Raw genomic sequence first — 20,162 nt, forward strand, 5'->3', positions numbered from 1 at the left:
TTGGCAATTTCTCATAAAACTAAAAATAGAGCTACCATGTATCTATTTTGGGGAATAGAGCCAAAAGAATTCAAATTAGGATTTTTTTTTTTTTTTTAGACAGGGTCTCACTTTGTCATTTAGGCTGGAGTACAGTGGTGCAATCATTGCTTATTGCAGCCTCAAACTCCTGGGCTCAGCCAATCCTCCCACCTCAGACTCCCAAGTAGCTGAGACTATAAGCACAAACCACCATGCCAGGAAACTTTTTAATTTTTTGTAGAGATAGGGTCTCACTTTGTTGCCTGGGCTGGTCTTGAATTCCTGGCTTCAAGCAATCCTCCCTCCTCAGCCTCCTAAAGTGGCGAGATTACTGGTGTGAGCCACCACATCCAGCTAAAATCAGGATCTTGAAGAGATACCTATATTCCCATGTTCACTGTAGCATTATTCACAATAGTCAAGATATGAAAACAGCCCAAATGTCCATGGACAGATGAATGGATAAAGAAAATGTGTTATATAGGTACAGTGGACTATTATTCGATCTTAAAAAAAGGAGAAAAAAATTACCATTTACAACAACATGGATGGACCTGGAAGATATTATGCTAAGTGGAATGAGTCAGTCACAGAATGACAAATACTGCATGATCCTACTTACACGAAGCATCTAAAATAGTCAAACTCATAGAGTAAGAAAATTAAATGGTGGCTGCCAGGGGATGAAGGGGGTGGGGAATGAAGCATTGTTCAGCGGGTATAAAGTTACACCTACACAGGATGATTAAGCTTTAGAGATCTGCTGTACAGCATTGCATAACAAGAGGGTAGATCTCACGTTAAGTGTTTTGACCACTAAAAGGGGGCATGGGGACACGAGGAAACTTGCTCTACAGTTTCAATGTTCTTTATACGAAGTAAATAGAAACTTCTAAGTAGTTTGTGAAAATTACAGTTGTATATTGTCATCCACAGAGCAAGATTTTTCAACCTCAGAACTATCGATATTTGGGGCCAGATAATTCTTTGCTGTGTTTCCTGTGCACTGTTGGATATTTAGTGGTATCTCTGGCCTCCACTCACCAGATGCCAGTAGTACTTCTCTAGTTGTGACAACCAAAAATGTCTCCAGACATTGCCAAATTCCCCTGAGAAATAAAATCACCCCTGTGTGAGAACCACTACCACCACACACACACACACACACACACACACACATAAAAACACTAACAAATGATGTAAAGAGGTATAGCTAAAAAGCCAATGAAATGAATTAAAATTGAATTCTATAAAATATTCTGTTAACCCAAAATAATTCAGGAAAGAAGCGACAGAGGAACAAAAAGAAAAATGAGAAAAACATTGATATGGTTGAGGATATTTGTCCCCTCCAAATCTCATGTTGAAACGTCATCCTCAATGTTGGAGGTGGAGCCTAGAGGGCAGTGTTTAGGTCATGGGGGCAGATCACTCATGAAGTGCCCTTCCATGGTAATGAGTTCTGACATTATTAGTTCACCCAAGAGCTAGTTGTTTAAAAAGGGCCTGGCACCTTCACTTCTCTCTCTCACTCCCTCTCTCACCATGTGACATGCCTGCTCCTCCTTTGCCTTCTGCCACAATTGAAAGCTGCTGGAGGCCCTCACCAAGAGCAGATGCCAGCACCATGCTTCCTGTACAGCCTGCAGAACCAAATAAACCTCTTCATAAATTACCTAGGCTCAAGTATTCCTTTATAACATTACAAATGGACTAATACAAATATAAAACAAATAGAATAAGTAGTAAAATATTATGTAGAAACTCAACCATATCAAAATTACATTAAATTTAATTGGACTAAACACTTTAGTTAAAAGGCAGAGATTTTCAGAATGGTTAAAAAAGCAAAACCCCTTGGCCGGGCACGGTGGCTCACGCCTGTAATCCCAGCACTTTGGGAGGCCGAGGCAGGCAAATCACAAGGTCAGGAGATCAAGACCATCCTGGCTAATACAGTGAAACCCCGTCTCTACTAAAAAAGCAAAACCCAACTATATGATGTCTATAAGAGATAGACTTTAGAGGCCGGGCACGGTGGTTCACGCCTATAATCCCAGCACTTTGGGAGGCCGAGGTGGGCGGATCACAAGGTCATGAGATCGAGACCATCCTAGCTAACACAGTGAAACCCCGTCTCTACTAAAAATACAAAAAATTAGCCGGGCGTGGTGGCGGGTGCCTGTAGTCTCAGCTATTCGGGAGGCTGAGGCAGGAGAATGGTGTGAACCCAAGAGGCAGAGCTTGCAGTGAGCCGAGATCGCGCCACTGCACTCTAGCCTGGGCAACAGAGCGAGACTCCATCTCAAAAAAAAACGAAAAAAAAAAAGAGATGGACTTTAAAGATAAAGCCACAGATGGGTTGAAAATAAATGATTAATGAAATATTTACTATGCAATCACTGAGCATAAGAACGCTGGACTGATTGTACTGGTATCTGACATATTTCAAGACTAAGGGTATTACCACAGATAGAGACATTTCATGAAAGCAAAAAGGTCAATCTATCAGAAAGGTGTAACATTGTTAATTCATATCAGCCTAATAACAGAGCCTCAAAATACACTAGGCACAAATTGTCAGAATTAAAGGGAGAAATAGACAAATCCACAATTATATTGGGAGATTTGAAATATACTCTTAGCAATTGACAGGAAGTTCCACCTGTCCATCTGATGAGGCAGTTGCCATAAGAAAGCAGCCCACACAGTCTAACCAGTAGGGATTAAGGAAAGCAGTCAATGCTTCTTTCTGGGCAGTGACATATTGGTCACGGGAGAGTTACCAGTTTTGAACGTCTGTGGGGAGGCAGTTTTGTTAGTCACTTCAGTTTATTACAATGATTCTCCACCATAGCTGCACTTCTAAATCATGTAGGAGGATTTTGAACAAGACCTGGAGTTGGGCCTCACCACTAAAAACTTTGATCTGATTGATACGGGGATGGCTGTAAGTATCCATATTTTTCTTAAAGCTGCCCACATGATATTAATGTGCATTTATTGCTATGTCATCTCATGTAATGACTTCTGTGGGCCAATTAGAATTTTAGGTCACATTATCCCGTTGGGTATATGTATTGAATTTTTCAGTACATACCTCAGCTTGGCACTGTCTCCTCCACCCTATTCACAGGCAGTTTAGGTTTTGAATACAAGTACAGAAGTTTATATTCTTCTGTATTGAATGCCATTTTTTATGATCAACACTTCTCACTGTCAAGATTCTGTAAGATCCCACTTCTATCTCCAATCCTCTCATCCTTTTTATCCTGTTTTATGTGAAGAATACAAGTGTCCAATAGTCTTTCCTAGCTCAGAGTCACTAAAATTACTATAAATCTGCTCCTTCTCTAGGGCTAAAATCACAATCAAGCTCCTCCGTTTGTGTGTTTTCTCATTATCTGAACCAAGCTCTATTGTCTTTTCTACCAGAAAGGCCCTTCATACCTCCATATCTTCCTGGACAATTCCTTCAAGACACAGTGCAAGTATTAGCTTTACAAAGAAGCCCTTCCTGCCTCTACTTAATCATTCCCTGCCCTTCCCAATCTCTAAACCCAGGACATTCCTCTATCACAGTACACATCACAATTTAGAATAATCTATTTCTTTATCAGTCTGTCTTCCTCGCTAGACTACGAGGTATACGAAGGCAAAGACCTGGTCTTGTTCCTCTTAGTATCCCAGTGCCAAGTCCTCATAGTGAGTGTCCAATAAATGTGCCTCGCATGAAGGGAGGGAAAGAAGGAGAGGTACATTTTTTTCTTAGAAATTGGGGTTCAAAACATCAAATAAAATCCTTTGACTCAGATGTTAGCTTTCCATAATTCTCCTAAGCCCAGAGTTTTAGGTAGCAGTAATAACTCTTCATACTTCTATAATATTTATTATTTACACAGCACTGAACATAATCTTACCCAACCCCTTTGAAAACCCAATTATGTACTGTTACCCCAATATTACAGATGAGAAATCTGATGATCGAAAACATTGATTTGTCCAAGATCTCTGACTAAAAAGGAACCAAACTTAGGTCTTCAGACTTAAGAATTGATCTGTTTTGTTTGATTTTAAAACATACAACCCTGGAGGATTAAATTAAGCTCTCTCCCACCTGGCATGGGCGAAGCCTTATTGTGTCTCTCCCATAGATATGCAGATTATCACTGGTGATGTACAGGCTACCAAGGCCTGCTAGGTACACTGGGTGTGAAGGCTTCAGGAGCCCCAGGCACCACTGGCTCCCAGCCTAAGTCCAAGGTCCCCATCTAGGACCTGGCTCCCATCTCATGATGCCAGTGCTGTTCTCAGGCTCTGCCATGCAGAGGTGACTGCTAATTACATTATGAGGGCTTCATGGAAAATGGGATGTGTGGTGAGTCTTAGTGGACGCGTAAGCGGATACATGGAGAGGAATGTGCAGTGTGCTTTAACCAAAAAGAAAGATTTTTGTAAAACAAAATTTTCAATGCAGGAAAGCCCATAGTTTACTCCCAGGGTTTACAGAGGTTGGCACAAGTGCGGCTATCATGGCTTAAAGAAGACTCCACCACCCACCTCCACCACTTCCACCCCGGCCTCTTTCTTTCCACCCAAACATGTGTTTTTCTTTTGTTTTGTCTTTTCATTTTGGAGACAGGGTCTTTCTCTGTCACTCAGGCTTGAGTGCAGTGGCACAATCATAGCTCTTTGCAGCCTCAAACTCCTGGTCTCAAGCAATCCTCCCACCTCAGCCTCCCAAGTAGCTAGGACTATAGGCACACATCACCACACCTGGCTAATTTTTACTTTTTTTATTTTTCTGTAGAAACAGGATCTCACAATGGTGCCCAAGCTGGTCTTGAACATGGTAAGCATCTTCCCACATGGGCCTCCCACAGTGCTGGGATTACAGGCAGGAGCCACTGCACCAGGCCCGTCTTCTGTTCACCTTGGGCATAAACCTGAACATGGCTTTACATCAGACAGAACAGCTTTGTGGGACAAGGATGACATCTCCAGCTGTTGATGCAAAGTCAGAGGACATCTGTGAGATCACTGGCAGCCCCACCCTTGAGTAAGGAGCTCCCTGCAGCACCTGTACAAGTGCCTGCTTGAGTGCTCTAGCAAGTGACAGGGTGCTGTACCACAAAAGGGAGCCCCAAAACTTTGTGGAGCAACTTGAAATAGCCATTAGTTTTTAGAAAATGCCAGTCTGTGCACCAGGACCTGGCTGCCTCAGAATCACTGTGGGCCATTTTGTTTGTTTGTTTGTTTGTTTGTTTGAGACGGAGTCTTGCTCTGTTGCCCAGACTGGATGTAATGGCGTAATCTTGGCTCACTGCAACCTGCATCTCCCAGTTTCAAGCAATTCTCCTGCCTCAGCCTCCCAAGTAGCTAGGATTACAGGCACACGCCACTGTGCCCAGCTAATTTTTGTATTTTTAGTAGAGACAGTGTTTCACCATGTTGCCCAGGCTGGTCTTGAACTCCTGACCTCAGGTGATCCACCCCCCCACCCCTTGGCTTCCCAAAGTGCTGGGGTTACAGGTGTGAACCACCGTGCCTAGCCAGCCATTTTTTTAAAATATAGTTCCCACACTTCTCCTGTAATAATTCTGATTTCCTAGGTAGAGAATGGGTCTTTCAAATATGCAGATTCCCAGGCCCTGTGCCAGACAAGCTAAATCAGTATTACCTAGGGAGGGGAGCGGGAATTGGTTCTTTTTAAAACATCCCCAAGTGGCTCTACTGTACAGCCTGGTTGGGAACTGCTGAACTGGAGTATTCTATTTTCCAGTCCAAATCTCCACTTGCCCCCTCTACCTGTCTCCCCCTGTTCTACCCACCGCAGCCACCAAGGCACCCAGGGCTTCTTCCTCAAGGCACCTGCTCAATGTTTGAAAAATAAAAGACAGCTTCTTCCCTTAAGTCTTTTCTTTTTAAGACTAAAAAGAACATCACCGCAAGAGAAAGAGTGATTTGCCTGCTAGGAGCCTCCAGAAATTAGGCTCAAAATAGTATTTGCTTCAGGAACTCTTTTATTATTATTCAGAAACAAAGTGTTGAAAGTATAGGGAAAATGCAAACTGATTTGTTTCACCTGTGTATCAATGGATTCAAAATACTGAAGACTTTCTTTTCCCAGAGTCAGTTTTGTTCTGCAAGTGACCCTGTGGAAAATCAAAGAAGGAAGTGGTTCAGGCAGATCCCTGAACTACCCCCAAGTGGGGTCACCTTGTGATAGGTCTGGGTTCCTGGCACCTCTTGAGAGGGAAGGGGTTCCATCCTGCAGAGACGGCCTCCCCACAGAACTGCACCACCGTGAGGTGAGATGTGTGGCTTCATCAGGGCTCAGCTCTGGATCTGGGAAAATGGATCATCTGTAGATTCATGTCTTGGGAACCTAATTGGAGTGGAAAGCCGAGAAGGAAAGCCGGGGGCTGCAAATGTGTAAATCTCATCCCTCAATTACAGGTCTGGCCTGTGAGAATTAACTAGTACAAGGAAGGAAAGACTTGAAGAGCGATAGTTACCTGTGAGCAGCAGCTAAAATCACAATGGCATCATGTTAAAAGCAGGTGCTTGCACCTTACACTGGATTTATCTTTTCACTGGTCAAGAATTGGTCCAGTTAGCTCCAAATGGAGTGCTGAGTTTCTCCAAGGGGCATTCCCTTTGTGTGCTGACCTCATTTCTTCATGACAAGCTTGATGTTTAGCAGGGGCTTAATATCAAATGCTGGAGAAATAAAGATGGATGTGAAAGTCAATCACCAGATGTAAATAATGTTTATTTATCCTTGGTGGAGACAGTCCACCTAAAACTGCCAGGTCTCAAAACCTCATTGCTGCCTGAGAGAAAGAGAAGGGGACAGGTTAAAAATTCCAGCCATGTATATGGCATCTTCCACCTAATATAGGTGGCACAGGTAGAAAATATCAGAGGCAGGGCTCGAACTCCAACTCTCTAGATTCTAGCTAAAGTTTCCTTCAAAAAGATGAGCTTCTTGTTGAAGGCAAAAGGCACTATACATCAGGGCACACCAGGATCCAAGAGCCTCATATCCTCAGGCCTCAGAGTGCCCATTCTAAAAGTAGTACCCCTCCTGTGTGGGGTTAATGTGGTTGGTGGTTACTCTGGCTTTGTTTCTAAGAGTTTCTTGGGTCATATCCTCCATGGAGGAGCGAATTTCTAGGGAGATAGAGCCTGGTGCCTCCTCTTTCCATCAGCAAATCTCATCCCAGACTTCTATATTCATAGGCCTGGCATTAAGACTTAACACTTAAGATTCTGGAGTCAGGGCAAGAGGTATAGCAATGCATACTGAGGATAAGGCATTTCTTTTGGAAGGAAGAGGAGACTAAGGCTCTTTGACCCCAGGAATATTGGACAAGAGAGAATGGATGGGGAAGGAGAAGTGCAGCTTAAGAATGCAGAAAGAGGAGAGGTCATACATGAAAACTACCAGGGATGTGACTCCGCACATCATGTTCCAAAACACTCAGGGCAAAACTGAGACACGAAGCCCTCTACAGCTTGTAGCTGTGTGCCTTCTCCTGCGGCTCTTCATTTTACCTCTCAGATTCCTTCAATTACTAAGGGAAAATCTCAGAGGCACACCAAGCATAGGGGTGAGGGAGAAGGAAGGATGATGTGGCAAGGGACCTGGAAGGAGGAGGCTCAGGGAAGGCTAAAGAGCAGACAGGGGAAGAGGCCTGGCCTGTAGGGTGGCAGCAAAAGGAGATGCGGTCTCACGGACCCCTTGCTAGCCAATATGGTGACCTTGTGCAAGTTGCAAAAGAAGAAATGGGCATTGCTTTCTCAAGACACTTTATGGCCATCTGCTGGAAAATTCTTATAATGGTGATATAAACTTAGGATGACAATGAATGTGAATCTTGCTCCCTGGGGTTGTGTAGGCACATTGCACAAGCAGGGGTGGAGCCCTGCCTCTCAGGGCTCAGAGCAGAACCACTCAGGGGTGTGCCCACCAAGGTCAAAGCAAGACCCCAGTATTAATCATTATTAATAATTAGAGCAACAGCACCTGGAACCTGGGAAAGTTCAGACTTTCCCTTTAGGGTTCCCTTCAGCTCTTGCTCAGATAAAGTTACCTTGTTCCACAAGGAGGAAGGGAAAGGGGTATTAGGGCAGGGAACCAGGACTGGAATTCTGAGGTCGTTGTCTCTGATTCTACTTACATTGCTTCTTGCCAGCCTCTCCCTGTCCCAGTCAGTTCTGCTGTTTCAGACACTTCTTTCTACGTTCACACCGACATTTACAATCTTCCTTGCAAAGATGCAGCAAAAAGATGCTCAGAGGACAGGACACACTTCATCTGGATGTAAGATTTTGCTGTGGGGGACAGGGGATATGGGATTTGTCTGCCCCAGCCCTCTGTTTACAGATGGTGAAACTAAGGCACATTGAGAAAAAGGTCCTTGCGCTATTCCTCATTTTCCACTGATGGGGAGCCAGGATTAACTTGAACCTCTTAACTCCCTGATCAAGAGCCCCCCAAACTGCATTTAGGGGCTTCAAAGTACACAAAGCTGCTCAGTTCCAGGAGAGAGAGAAGTTGTGCTTGAAGGTTGACAGGAGCCACAAGCAGGACTTGACCCATTAAGGCCCAGGCCTGTAGCCCACAGGCACCTGCCACAGGAAGAAGGGAAAGAGGTATTAGGGCAATGAACCAGGACTGGAATTCTGAGGTCCTTGTCTCTGATTCTGCTTACATTCCTTCTTGCCAGCCTCTCCCTGTCCCAGTCTGTTCTGCTGTTTCAGACACTTGCTTCTAGGTTCTATGTTCAACACACACCAGCAGAAACTGACCACCCAAACTCAATGACACACAGGCACGCACAGGTACACATAACATGTGTTTGCATGGGCTATTCTGAAGAGTGACAGCTCCCATGTATCGAACTGCTCTAATGTGCAGGCTCTGTACTGGGTAATTTATAGCATTAGCCCCACCTCACAGTTAGGAAACTGAGGCTTGAAAAGAGAAGTAACACACCAAAAATCACACAAATACTGTGTGATTTGAGTGTCAGGGTGAGGTCTCAAACTGCCTGTCCACAAAGTCCATGTTCTCTCAATTATGCCATGATGTCTCATACGGAGGTACATTGTAATACTGATAATATGTAATGTTAATAGAAAATGGTTCTAATATAGATATATGATGATGATGATGATGACCATGATGATGATGAAAATCATAGCTAAGTTTTAAGGTATTATTCTAAGCCACTCATTGTTCTGAGATCTTTCCATGACCAACCCATTTAATCTTCACCAGTAACACTATGAATACAGCTGGGCAAATGTCTGGAGGCCCCACAGCTTGTAAGTAAAGGAGCCTGGATGTGCTCTCAGTCATACAACCTCTTGTGGATCCAGATCAGGAGGAGACTTGTGTTCAGCACACCTTGGGCTCTGGATTCAGCCCTGAGGAATGACCCTTCCATCCTTCCAGGTAGGCTGTCTTGGGACAGCTGGCTCTCCTGGGAGGGCTGTCTCTCATAAGGCCACGGTTCTCAACCCCTGCTCACCTTTGCTGAATTTGCAGCTCGTCAGTCAGCTCAAAGGCAGAGCTTTGGGTCTCCTGGGAGGGGACCACCAGCAACGCCAGCCCTAGACGTTCAGCATCCCCAGGGAAGGGAGAAAAGGCAGTCAGCGCTGCTTGCTTGTTCAACACCTGAGAGCTTTGGCTGTCCAGAGCACAAAGGCACAAGGCCATTTTCCAGGCGGCTGAGCTCGAGGCCTAGGGGAGACAAGGCTGCTGACTGCTAACGGGGCTGTCCCCAGCAAGGCACTGAGTCTCTCTCTTCCCTCCCCACCCCATCACTGCACCTGGCCTCCCCGGCTTTTGTCTTCACACCCTCCCCTTTCCTCCCGAGACAGCCTCTCTCCAGCCCCTCTCTTTCAGCAGATCAATCCATTTTGTATGAGCAGAAGAGTGAGGAAGAGATCAAGCTACAGAGACTGAATGCACGGCCCGATAAGAGAAGCAAGAAGAACCATCTGTGGCACAAGGGGCTGTGGAGGGGATAATAGCCCAGACCCTGTGTTCTGTTCGGCCACACAATGGGCCGAATCCAGCAGGCGCCCTCCTGGTCTCTAATCTAGTGGGAAGGGCATATGTGCAGTCTATTAGCATTTATTTTCCCTTTCTGCATTGTACTGATAACCTAGTTTCCGACCCAACCTCTCGCTTTTCTTTTCACTCCACATTACAATTCTGCTTTCTTAAAATCCTATTCAGCTATATTAAAAAAAAAAAAAAAAAAAAAAAAAAAAAAAAAAAACTTGAACTCTAGGTTTTCAAAGCGCATCAGTAATTTTTTTCCCAACTGAACCAAGGTGACTCCTACAAAGAATTTACCATTCTGGATCATAATGATGGTTCAAGAGCTGCGGGATGGGTAGCATTCCTCAGGCTGTATTTATAAATTCACTAATAGAAATCAATATAAAGGATGAGCTCAACAGTGAAAGATACAGCTGTCGCAGAAACCAGGTACCCAGGACAGGCGAATGCTCCCAATCAGCTCTCCTCTCCAAAGAGCCTGAAACTGAGCACATCATGCACTGACTCAGGCTGTGCCGCCCCGTGATCGCACGGTGGTCAGCACTGTTATTCACCCTGTTATTTCTTTTTAACAGAATTTGTGCAAAGTAAAATGGGGAGTTTAATCAATAGTTAATGATTCTGAAAGCAGACATTTCATGAACTCCTCTTAAGCTCTTCTTCTGAGAAAACTAGCAAATTGCTTGTAATCATAGAAAGTGGCGTTCTCCACAGCCAATGCCTTTTGTTCATTACTGGAGCCTCCCAGACAGGAGTGAAACATATTGATCATTGGATGTTCTAAAACAACAATTGGATAAATGAGAAGACATCTGAGATGTGACCACTGTGTGGAATGTGGAGGTTGCATCTGAGTCTGAGCTTTATGCCATGCATGTGCTGCTTTCGTGTTGTCTATTTGTATTCCTTCTGTGACTCAGAATAACCCACCAACATAACAAAATGAATAGGCATTTCTAACCCAAGGGAAATCTCCTAGACTCCACAGCTATGCAGTATGGTTGTGTAAACATTAAGAGAAATTCGGATTCACCACTTCATCTTAGGGAGTAATTTCTCATAGAAGTCTGACCTCCTGCCACCCTTGATGGATACAGAAATCTCCAGGAAATTGGCCACATATTTGAGAGGACAAGAACATGGGATGAGGGACACCCCAACTCTGACCCAGGTACACTTTTTCTTTTCCTGGAAGGGTCCCAGCTTCCCAAGCATACAAGTGTGAAGGGGATGAAAGATTGATTGCAAAGACCCCCGTGCCTGACACTAGTGTTATGTTGACCCAGGGAAGTGGAGGAGGAAATGTCCTGGCTGGGGGTGACAAAGAAGGGCATAGCACTTGAGCCATGACTCCTTCCAGTCAAAATAGTCCTTGGCAGATGACCCTAAAAACCAAATTAGCAGGTCTTAATTTTGAGTCATGTCTCCAAGAGTGGTGGCTGTGGTTAACACTAGCTGGGCACCCTCTCTTCACCATATTTTTTTTAAAACATCTGGGACATAACCAGAGAATAAGGAAGATGCTGGGTTGTGGTATGATGTGACCAGGCCTACGTGGGGACCAGGTACTGGCTCTGAAATCTCCATGTGCCCATTTAGAACTGGAGACTGATCCCAGGCTGATTATAAAAGAAGGGCACTAGGGAAGTGCTTGCTACCTGCCTGTTCATAGGAGGGTCTGTAGAAATCCAGATTGACCAGGGTCTCAGGTTCAGAGACCCACGGAAACCAGGCAGGTCATGCAAATTAGTGAAATGGGCTGGGACAGAATCTTCCTTGGCCACCTGGAGAATAGCACCTTGACTCAAGGGCAGCCACTTCTCAACTCTAGCATCAGAATGTTGTTAGACAGGAATGCACATCCTGTGTTGCCAGACAACCCACACTTTCAAGAGATACAGAAAATCCACTTTGTTTTATGTTTTCAAGTAACTCAACAATTTTATAACACTGTACAGGCCAGATCAGAACCTTAGACTGTCAGTAGGCAAACCTGGCCCAAAGAACATTAAATTCATGTTCTTTATCATTGCCAGGCATCTTTCCAGTATCTGTTTGGACCAATAAATTATTTCTCCAGTAAAATTAAGTAAATAATTCTGCCTCTCTGGAGCTTGGTGTCTCCAGTGTAGAACATATTCAATCCCTGACTACAATTCCAGATGTTTCTTTGGAGATTCATTCAGTTATTCAAAGTGTCCTAAACACTAGAGAGACAAAGCTGATAGTCAAGATCTTTGCTCATATTCTACAGAAACAGTGAGGAGAGAGGGATAAAATATATATCCATATGTACATATGTATATAAACACACTTACACATATATGCACACATACACATGCACATTGCACACACATGTGCATTCACAATGTGGATGGATTGGGGTATACATCGTAGGTAAAGCCAACAGGATTTGCACATGGTTTGGATATGGAGAATAAAACAAATTGTAAAAAAGTAAAGGTGGTGCTTAGAGCTGTGGCTTTGAAACAGGTGAATGAGGGCTAAGGAATTGGGGCTAAGGAAGTCTGAGGAAGAATCAAGAGTTCTGAATTGAACTTGTCCAGTCTTAGTTGGGTATTAGACATCCAACTGGCAATATCAAGTAGGGCTCTGAAGACCATACTCAAAAAAATAGAAACAAGTTTGATGGCTTCCTCAAGACTACATAAGAAGTCAGTGGAAGTAGATTAAAAAATCTATGAAGATGCTTGTAACGTTAGTTGACAATCACCAAAGCTAGTAGCAAAATTGACCTGGGGTCAGAGTTTATGTTCTATATCACCAGTATCTCAATCGTGTTATACTAGTAGTTCCAGATGATTTTTTTTTCTGATTGTATGATAAAGTTGTTGGAAATATGCCTCTTTTAACTTTTATGGATCTGTCTAGACATACTACTAAAGAAAGTGTTTCTATTCTTCTCTAGAAATAGGCCTGAAGTTTGCTCTTCCTGCTTCTTCATTATACACCAAACCCAAGTCCCAGAGAGTGGCTTTGATACCAGGAGCGTAGAACAGGAGCGTGGAGCGGAATGGCCTCTCCAGCCTGCATGCGTGCAGACACACACCCTCCTAAGTACATTCTAGGTGAATGCTCACATCTGTGAGTGTCAAGAACTATGCAGTGATCTTTATTAATTAAAATTATTACTACACTATGAAAAATGGCTCATTACCTCTGGCATTGTAACCATGCCTACCTACCAGGTTTTTTTTTTTTTCCTCCTAATAGAGCTCAAGGGTTTACAGGAACAGTAGTACTCCTTGCAGTAGCTGTGATTTTTGACAGGGTGCACACTTGCCACCTCCTCCTAATTAACCGAGCCCTTTTGCCCCCTACGCTACCTTGTCAGTGTCTAGTGGTCCCTCAGCACTCCTCCCAAAGGACACTGTGGGATGTCAAGTTACCATGAGGAGTAGAGCCTCAAACCCAAACAAAGGCAGATTGGACTTCCAGAATAAATCAAACCCCACTTAGAGTAGAAGTTGTTCTTATGTCAAATGGGTGGTGAATACTGGGGAACATTTAGACCAGTTGTCACTGACTACAGAAAAAATAAGAATAGAAAAGGACCTAGATACTTCTTCCACTTTACAAAACTATCCCCCTTCTTCCCCAGAGAATGGGCCTTGCCTTCATAGAAAGGGGCAAAAGGAGTGCCTTGGTCTCTGCTGTGCTGAAGAACTGGTTCAAATTACTGCTCAAAGTCAGAGAGAAAATAACTTGCTTTATTAAACCTTCCTAGCCAAAAATCAGCCTATTCAGATTAATATGCCTCTAGGTATTGCTTTCCAAATGTTAGGAGCAATGACCTGGAAAAATGAAAAGCTTTATTTAAGAATGTTGATGTCTGCATCTATATGGCTGGATCTTTAGCTGTCAGAAGAAAGAAACAACTATTGGTTGGAGTTAAATAATCTTTCACCGTCCAGATATGAAACGTGCTATTGCCTCAGTGAACGCTTCTAGAGAGTAGAGCTGTAAAGTATGAATGTCTGTTTAGGATGTAGAGTCACAAGGGGATGTTACTGCCATCCTAACATTGGAAGAAGCCAAATAGGCTATAAAATTATAGTTTTTAAGCTCATTAGAGAGCCAAGGATGTCAATAAACCTAAATGAGTTAAATTCCAGAAAGCAATGAGCCCTTTCTTGGAGAGTACAGACTTACAGCTGCTGTCGTCCCTAGTGGTGTGGTGAAAGAAGGAACACAAACCAAAGAATTTTATAAGCCTCCCATGGCCATGTGTGAGCTGGTAAAGACGAGAGGTCCATGGGATCCCTTTCAGAGAATAACTCGGTATCCAGCCCCCAAACATTTCCCACAGACCTAGAACAAGTGTATGGGAGTAGTGTATTAAAGATTGGGGCAGGCCAGAGACCTGAAAGATATCTCCCCTCCCAAGGCACATGAGGCCCTCTCTAAGTGCAACACACTGAGACGCATTGCAGGTGGGGAGGGGCAGGGAAAGAGAACTGCAAAAATCTCCCTGAGACACCATAGACTTGCATCCAGTGATCAGAACAGCCGACTAAAGCTGGGACCGAGTAGGCAGAGGAAACCCCTTTAAAACTGTGAAGCTCTTCACATAGTGTCCTGCAGTAGCCATCCAAAGGCCAGGAGTGGGGTAGCCTGATGGGAAGAGACTTCCCAAGGAATAGAAAGCCAGGGGTGGGACTGGAAAAAAAATACAAAATTTTTCAGTGACCCAAAAAGTTGGCGATAGGGTTGGAAAATGGAGTTTCTCATTGTTCAGAAACCTATAAGGCTTAAAGAGATCTCCAAATCTCACCTCCTCTCAGATTGCAAGCCCTGCTGGAGGGAGAGTCTTGATGATACCTTCAAAACATTTAAAGCTAGAAGGAAATTAAATCTGACCAAAGCTGCAACAAAGCCAAGGCTCAGCTCAACTCCATATGGGATTAACTCACCCTTCCGCAGTCCCAGCCTTGCAGGAAAAGGGGTGTGCTCTTTTTGGGGATAAAGTTTATTCTACACCTTCAGTCCTTTTATATGTATGTTTTTGCACACAGTAAAAAACTTAGGAGATACACAAAGAACCGAGAAAGTTTTACCATGGTCCAAGAAAAGAGCCATGAAATCAGATCCAGAGAAGGTCCAGTTGTTGGATTTATCATACAGGGAGTTTGGGGGAAAAAATGTATGATAAATACATTAAAGGATCCAAAAAATTGTGGACAATATGTGAAAAGATGGGGAATTTGTCTAGGGAGAGGGAAACTATAAAAGAGAACAAAATAGAAATGCTAAAAACAAATAAAAGAACTACAATCTCAGAAATAGATAGTTCATTTGACAGGGTTACAAACTAGATATAGTACAAAAGAGGATTTGTCAACTAGAAAACAGGAAATTATCCAAATTAAAATAGGTAGAGAGAAGACTGCAGAGAAAAAAAGAAACAGAGCATCTGAGATCTCTGAAATAATATCAGATGGTCTAACATATATGAAGTCAAAGTCCCAGGAAAAAAGATAGAATGAAGCAAAGGGAATATTTGAAAAGATGACAGCCAAGAATTCTACATCAACTGAAAGATTCAGAAAATCTCAATAAACGACAAGCAGGGGCAAAACAAACCAAACCATCATCTTGGCAACCAGTCAAACTGCTGAAAATCAAAGGAAAGACATAGATCCACGACATTCATACATGACAAAGAATGGCTGACTTCGTTAGAAACAGTGGAGTCCAGAAAACAATTTAATGAGATGTTTAATTAGACAAAAGCATTATAAGTCATGCTGGCCTTGAATTCTTTATCCAGCAAAATATCCTTGCAAAAATGAGGGTGGGATACAGACTTTTCCAGATAAACAAAATCTGAATTTTTTGCCAACAGATTTGCACTATAAGAAATATTAAAAGAAGTATTTCAGGCTGCAGGAAATGATACCAGATGGAAACTTGGATCTTTACAGAAGAATAAAGAAGATCATAAAAGCTTTAAAATGTGTGTAAATACTTTTCAGAGTTTTTTTCCTTTATTCTTTCTCTCTCATTTCTTTCTTTTTCTTTCTTCCCCTCTAAATCTATCCATAGACACACACACACACACACACACACTTTTAACAACCTACAGACCATATAAAGCAAAAATTTTAAAAATGTATTATGGAATTAATACCATATGTAGAAGTAAAAAACATAGAAGAACAAAGTGTAGGAAGGGTAAATGGAATTTTACTGTATAAATTTCTTACATTATTCATGAAATAATATTACAGGCTGAGTACCACTTATTTGAAATGTCTAGGACCAGAAATGTTTTGGATTTCAGATTTTTTTGGATTTGGGAATATTTGCATATAAATAATAAGATATCTTGGGGATGGGACCCAAGTCTAAACACAAAAGTTCATTTACATTTCATATACACCTTATGTACATACCCTGAAGGTGATTTTTATGCAATATTTTTAATAACCTTGTGCAGGAAACAAACTTTTGACTCATTTTGACTGAGACCTGTCAAATGAGAGCAGGTGTGTAATTTTCTATTTGTGGCATCAAGTCAGCACTCAAAAAATGTTGGATTTTGAAGCATTTCAGATTTCAGATTTTTGGATCAGGGGTGCTCAACATGTAGTCCATAATTTCCAGAAGAGTTGGGGTTGAGCCATCCATAATTTTTAACGGGCAAAAATGGCACCATGGGAGTGGGAGACTGTGGTAAGTTAAAGATGAATAGTGTCATCACTACAACAATCATTTTAAAAATAGTACAAATAGGTATAACAAAAAGATCAATAGTAAAGGTACAATGGAATACTAAAAATGCTTCATTCACGCAAAACAAGGAAGAATGAATAAAGGAGAAAAAGATAAAAAGATACAAAAGACAGAATGGAAAATACAAAATAATAACATGATGTTAGACTTAAAAGCAATCATATCAGTAAGTATGCATATTAACTAAATGTTCTTTTTAAGAAGCAGAAATTATCAGACTGAATGAAAAGCAAGAAAAGCCTTTATGTTGCTTTCAGTAAACATAATTTTAATATAAAGACACAGATAGATTGAAAGTAAAATATGGAAAACAATATACTATACAAACATTAAGTATAAGAAAAATAGTGTAGCTATATTAAAGTAGACTTCAAGACACAGAATTCTAGTAGAGATATAAAAGGACATTTTATTATTATAAAAGTTTCAGTCCATTAAAGATATATAAACATCTTAAATGTGTATGCACCTTAAAACAGAGCTTCAAAATATCTGAAGCAAAAAGTGGCTGTGCTAAAAAGATAAATAGACAAATCCACAAAGATAAATGGAGACTTTAAATTCTCTTCTCTCAATAGTTGATAGAACAAGTTGAAGAAAAAAAAAGGAGAGAGCAGATAGAAGATCTGCACAACTCAATCAACCAGCTTCATGGAACTGACATTTATAAAACAGACCAAAAACTGTAAAATATACATTTTTTTGCAAGTGCACAGAAAATGTCCCAAAAAACCATATGCTAGGCCATTAGAAAGTCTCAATAAATTTCAAAAGACCAATAACATAAAGAGTATATTCTCTGGTGACAACGGCATTAAATTAGATACTAATCTCAATAGCACACCAAGAAAATCACCCCAATATTTGGAAATTAAACATACTGCTAAATAGTCCAAAGATCAAAGAATAAATTACAAAAGAAAGCACAGAATATTTTCAGTGGAATGTTAACAATTTCAAATTGTGTAGGCTATACCTAAAGCAGTGCTAACAGGGAAATGTATAGCTTCAGAAGCCTATCTCAGGAAACAGGAAACACATTAGAGCAATCATCTAAACCACGACCTTAAGAGGCTAAGAAATGAAGAGTAAATTAAACCCAGAGTAGGTACAAGAAATAAGACAATAAATAGATGACAAATAAATGCAACGGAAAGAGACAACCAATAAAGACAATCAGCAAAGTCAGAGGTTGTTTTTTGGAAAAAGTTAATAATGTTGATAATCTCCTCAGTTTGAATGATCAAGAAGTAAAGGAGAAAGTAAACCACAAATTGCCAGTATCAGAAGTACAATAAGGAAGATCTTCAGAGATCCTATAGACAAATATAATAAAAGGAGCAACTTTATGCCTCCAAATTTGACTTAGATAAAAGAGAAACATTTGTTGAAAGCTCAACCTAAAATGTACACAAGAAGAATTTTAAAATATAAACAGCCCCGTATCTATGAAACAAATTGATTTGTCATCAAAACTATGAATTTTGTTAAACACTAAGGAGGAAGGAGTGCCAAACTTAACACAAACACTTCCAGAAAATAAAGAAGAAGGAACAAATCCCACCTTGCTTGATAAAGCCAGCATGACCCTGATATCAAAATCATTTGGTATCAGTTTTTAACCAGGCGTATTTTTCCAACTGCTTTACCTAAACTAACCCTATCTAATCCTCACAATAGCCCTAAACTGTAAATATTCATTATTATCCCTATTTTACAAATGAGAAAACAGAGGCACAGAGAGGTTAGAAACTTGCCCAAGGCCACACAGTTATTAAGCAGTGGGACCACGAGACTAATACAAGCCAACTGTTTCTCAAGTCTACTTCCTAAGCACCACACTATACTTCCTCCTTAATACTAAATTAGATCAAAACAGTGAGCGTGTGCAGCACAACGCTTGGGACAGCATGAACTTATTAAATAAACTGAACGTCCAGTGGGAAGCTAGAAATACAAAACTGAAGCTCAAACTGGACCAACACATCGCAGCCGAGGACCTGTAAGCATTCCACTTCAGTTCTTGAATATGAATTCATTTGACCCAGCGCATAGCTGTGTGCACACCCATGCACACTCATGTGTGCAAGAGTCCCAGTGAGGCAGTTTACAATTTGAAAGTGCAAGCCTACCACACTGGATAAGGAAACGGAAGACAACTGTCCTTATCTCTCTCTCCAGCCCTCCCTGATCCCTGCAGTCCTTGCCAATGCACTAAGAGACTTGTCACACGATAATGAAAAACTGAAATGTGATGGATTCAATTACAATTTATATTTTCACTTAACAATCAATTACCTTCCCCTTGTTGGTGGAACATCATTAAGCGATGATACCAGCTCTGGAGAGAAATCCTCTTGGGGAGGGGAGCAGCTAGCCCAGAGAGAGTTGAACAGGGTTTTGAGTCTCCCAGGAATCTGGGCAGAGGGAAGAGAGGCACGGAGCAGGAATAGTGGAAGGATTGACTTCCTGGGGCTGCCCAGGGGTGAGAAAAGAGGTGTTCTCTGCCTGTCTGTGCCAAGAAAGAAGGGGTTAGGGAATCCCCACCTTTCTCTGGACCCTCTTCGTCTACCTGTGGGGGCGTCCCTGGGATCTAAAATAAACAAGAAAGTTGAAGCTCCCCCTTGGATGTCACCCAGAGAAGCTGATCCTGAAGTTAAATATTTGCAAAGCGGGGGTGAGCAAGATAGACTTGCTGAGGACCCAGCAAGGGTGCACTAGGGCACAGGCAGCCTCCACTAAGATCCTTCAAGAGGTTGGGGGAGGCTCCATGTTTGCTTGCTCCCCAGGTGGGCTTTGTAGAACTTAAGAGGCTCTCTGGGGCTCGGCCTCTTGGAAACAGCAGCGATAAGCCCTGCACAGATGGAGCAGCCTCCAGACAGCAGCCGCCTGGGAGGATGAAAATTGAAATCCCAGCTTTCCTTCAGAAAGATGGAAAGAAGGGAGGGAATCCCAATGCAGAGTTCTCCATCTCTCTCACTTTCTCTCTCTCTCTCTTCTCCACAAGGGGGCGCACAGCCTGAAGCAGCTTCCCTTCTAACAACCCCCCAATTTTGCATTTTCAAGCATGCAAATCTGACTACGTCATTTATGCTTAAAACCTCTCATTGCTATAAAATAAAGCCTAAATTATTTAGCATGGCATTTGAAGGGGATCAGAATATGCCACCCTGAAATATGTCCCTTTGGCATGTGGATTATTTTGAGCTGAAGGCAATTGAGAATCAACAGATGGAGGAAGAGTTCTCTGACCCCCGAATCTGTCTAAAAGCAGGGACAAATTTCCCTTTGTGAAGGTGACTCT

At 42.1% G+C, this 20,162-nt stretch overlaps 2 long non-coding RNA genes across 3 annotated transcripts in view; both read right to left on the reverse strand.

Moving 5' to 3' along the window:
* The window catches only part of LOC107985792 (uncharacterized), a 180,825-nt gene extending 161,548 nt beyond the window's left edge, over positions 1–19,277 (reverse strand). The window contains exon 1 of the long non-coding RNA NR_171639.1: positions 19,157–19,277. This is a non-coding gene — a long non-coding RNA (uncharacterized LOC107985792). The remainder of the gene's footprint in view (positions 1–19,156) is intronic.
* LOC107985858 (uncharacterized) lies at positions 5,554–10,272 on the reverse strand. 2 transcript variants are annotated; one of them, XR_001739334.1, is made up of 3 exons: positions 8,208–10,272; positions 6,540–6,744; positions 5,554–6,409 (listed from the first exon to the last, which is right to left on the reverse strand). It is a non-coding gene; the product is annotated as an uncharacterized LOC107985858 (long non-coding RNA). The 2 variants fall into 2 exon arrangements; XR_001739333.1 differs by having other exon boundaries at positions 5,554–6,176; positions 6,268–6,744.
* Positions 19,278–20,162: the final 885 nt, after the last annotated feature.

This window comes from Homo sapiens, chromosome 2 (assembly GCF_000001405.40).
Source record: "Homo sapiens chromosome 2, GRCh38.p14 Primary Assembly".
NCBI classification, from domain to species: Eukaryota; Metazoa; Chordata; class Mammalia; order Primates; family Hominidae; genus Homo; species Homo sapiens.